This window comes from Homo sapiens, chromosome 18 (genome assembly GCF_000001405.40).
Source record: "Homo sapiens chromosome 18, GRCh38.p14 Primary Assembly".
Taxonomy (NCBI): Eukaryota; Metazoa; Chordata; class Mammalia; order Primates; family Hominidae; genus Homo; species Homo sapiens.
Window position 1 is genome coordinate 44,709,204 of NC_000018.10, and position 3,472 is coordinate 44,712,675.

General features: G+C 47.1%; 1 protein-coding gene across 19 annotated transcripts in view; it reads left to right on the forward strand.

Annotated features, from left to right (window-relative positions):
• SETBP1 (SET binding protein 1) overlaps positions 1–3,472 on the forward strand; it is a 388,438-nt gene that overhangs the window by 29,131 nt on the left and 355,835 nt on the right. The gene's annotated exons all lie outside the window — the stretch shown is intronic.

Sequence of the window (3,472 nt, forward strand, 5' to 3'; positions counted from 1 at the left end):
CCCCAAGGAAGGTTTTTTGGTGAATTCTATGCCATTGAAAATGCATCTGGCAGAGTAACCAGCAAAAACTGTGTTCTGTTCAGACAGAAAGTCATTTATTCTCTGAAGCATGGCTGGTGTGCTCTGTATGTGAAATTCTAGATGAGGAGTACAGGGTCTATTAGAAAGAGCCTCCACTCTGGAAGTGGATTAGAACTCAGATACCCTGATTCCAGGAACATGGTCTCTCTGCCTCTGGACAGAGACAGCCTGCATAATCTTAGGCAAGACTTAACCTCTTGAAACGTTTCCTGACAGTTGGAAAATCAGGGATAACAGCAGCCCCTCCTTGTTGATGTCACTGTGGTGAGGTTGAAGTTGTCCGTTGGACACTTAGGACAGCCCTTTGCTTAGTATGTCCTGCTCTCATTGCTGTTTGGCATCTCTCCCTGCGGACCATCCATAGGAGCTTCCTTAGTTGAGGCACAGAGTGGGCACACAGTGATCTGCAGTGGTGCTGGGCACTTGGGAGGCCTGGGCTGTGTTGAATTATGTTAGCTGGGGGGCAGCACCAGTGCCTGATGTCTGATGCCTGGAGAAACTTCTATTAGTTGAGCATATCACTAATGATTTTTTTTTTTTTTTTTTTTGGTGTTGGTGGTAGGAATTGCTATACGGATTTATTTAGAGATAGTTCAAAGGTCTTTTATCTCTGTGGTCATTTATCTGCCAAACCGGGATTACTGCTGAGCACAAAGGATGACTCAAAATGAAAGTTTCAAAGCAGTGTCAAAGGAACCATCAAGTGGGGTTCAGCTGGCGGCTGCTACTCTTCCAGCATTTGCAAAGTCGGCCCCTCTTCCTCATCGTTGCAATTTTACATCCTCAAAAAGTCCTCTCATTGCTACATTGCTAGTTGACCCGCAGTTATATTTCCTTTTTTTCTTTTTAATAAAAGGCAAGAGAAACAATCCGTTTTTGCCTTTTCCTACCACATCTTTGACTTTTCTGATTCCTGCAAGTTTAAGTTAAAAACATCCTACCTTCAAGCTACAAAATGCAGCACATCCCAGGACATCCCTCACCTGCTTTGCTTGTTTATTAGACACAAGTGGCTTTGTTCAGAAAGTTACTGGGAACCGCTAAGGATAGTCAAGGTGGAGAACACAGGGTGGGGTCTCAGAGTCTGAGGCCTTGGTTCAGGTTCCTGATAACATTAAATATAGAAAATACACAGCACAAGGCCTTGAAGCCATGCATTTTAGGAGTTTTTTTTTTTTTTTTTTTGAGATGGAGTCTCATTCTGTCACCCAGGCTGGAGTTCAATGGCAGGTTTTTGGCTCACTACAATTTCTGCCTTCCAGGTTGAAGCAATTCTCCTGCCTCAGCCTCCCAAGTAGCTGGGACTACAGGCCCATGCCACCACATGCGGCTAACTTTTGTATTTTTAGTAGAGACGAGGTTTCACTATGTTGGCCAGGCTGGGCTCGAACTCCTGACCTCGTGATCTGCCCACCTCAGCCTCCCAAAGTACTGGGATTACAGGAGTGAATGACCGCACCCAGCCAGGAAGTTTCTAATATCTGCAATAAACTAAAAATTTGTGTTATACTTTGCACACAGCCAAACTGTTTTGGGGAAAGTGTTTCAACAGCATGGTCCTCAGAGTGACTTGACTTGGAAGGTTGGCACTAAGGCTCTGATCACTCCCCTATGGAGCCATCAGTGGCCAGAGGAAGAGGCTGCCAGAGAGGAGGGCAGGAGTTAAGTAGACCCAGGTCCTCAAGAGGCATACAGACAGACACAACATGCAAACACCTTCACTGATTTTTAGCCACGCCACGTCGTATGAAGTCTGCCTGAGGCTGAATTATATATTAACTGGTGGATCAGTGAGCCCCCGCTGCTGGGGGAGTGCAAGCTGAGGCCGCCATCTGAGTGCGTTGAACAGGAACACCCAGAGCCCTATATTGCAAGAGGTTTGAACTATGCAACTTTTTTCTCTTTTCTTTTCTTTCCCACCCTCCCTCCATCCCTCGCCCATTCCTCCCTCCCTCCCCTACTCCTCCCGCCTCCCTCCCTCTCTCCCTCCCTCCTGATTGTTTCTGCTGCTTGGCTCTGGCTGTGGGTAAACTCCAGCACTGCAGCTTCATCTGGGAGACCCACAGCTCGTTTGCTTCCTTCCTTCCTTCCTTCCTTCCTTCTTTTCCTTCCTCTCTCCCTTCCTCCCTCCCTCCCTTTCTCCCTTCCTTCCTCCCTTCCTTCCTTTCTTCCTCTCCTTCCTTCCTTCCTTTCTCCCTCCCTCCCTCCTTCCCTCTCTCCCTTTCTTTCTTTCTTTGTTGCTTTTTTTTTTCTTTTTTTAAAACAGGGTCTTGCTCTGTTGCCCAGGCTGGAGTGCAGTTGTACAACCATAGCTTACTGCAGCCTCAAACTCCTGGGCTCAAGTGATCCTTTCAGCTCAGCCTACTGAGTAGCTAGTACTGCAGGTGTGCACCACCACATCTAGCTGATTTATCTTTAAATTTTTTTTTTTTTTTTTTTGGTAGAGATAGGTCTTGCTATGTTGCCCAGGCTGGTCCTGAACTGGCCTCAAGCAATCCTCCCGCTTCGGCCTCCTGAAGTGCTGGGATTACAGGCCACCGGCCTGGGCTGACTACACAACCTCTAGGGCACTTCACCATTTTCCATAATACCCCAGTGGATCTCGCCCTATGAAGGCAAGGGCCTCCCTGTATATCTTGAGTCTGCATTTCTCTCTGAATTCCCAGGTTGTTGTATTTTTCTCCCTGCCTGCCCCTTCTTCCCTGGGCCAACTTCCCTCACCTCCCCACCAGCCTGTGACCTCACACGGGAAACAATGGAGACCTTTATTTACTCTCAGAAGTCTGAGCAGTTCCCACCTCAGTACCTGGCCTGTGAGGCCATTTGATAATCATCATTAGTATCAAATGCAGGTTGCTTTGGTGTGTTTTCTAGACCTTGTTTATTGTGGTTCCCTCCCTCCCCCACCAGATGGTCGTCTTTGCCTCCCACAAGTTTCTAGCCAGTTTCACAGTGGGGGATAGGAGGTTGGGGGTGGGTAGGAAATTCTTAAAAGGAGATAGAGAGCAGCTCTGTCCCTCCAGGTGGGCCACCCACCATGTCTTGCCAATAAGAAGCAATCATTTGCAAATATAAACTTGCCCAGGAGTGTGGACAGCCTTTTATGCCAGGCCAGTTATTTCATTTGTTTAGTGTTGTTCATGAGAACTCAGCTCAGGAATTTCAGCATTTTTTACAACACACAGTACCCCTGCAGAACCAACTTAAAGCAGTAGCTCCTCATGGTGGATCATGGGTTTTGTAGTATACAGTGGGACTCTCCATGATCTCTCCATTCTTATCCTTTGGGGGCAGCATTATGTAGAAACTAACTTATTTGGGTGTGTGATTCTTCCTGTGTCATCAGGTTCCTGAACTAACCCAGTCTTCCTGCTTGATTCCTACCATTTAG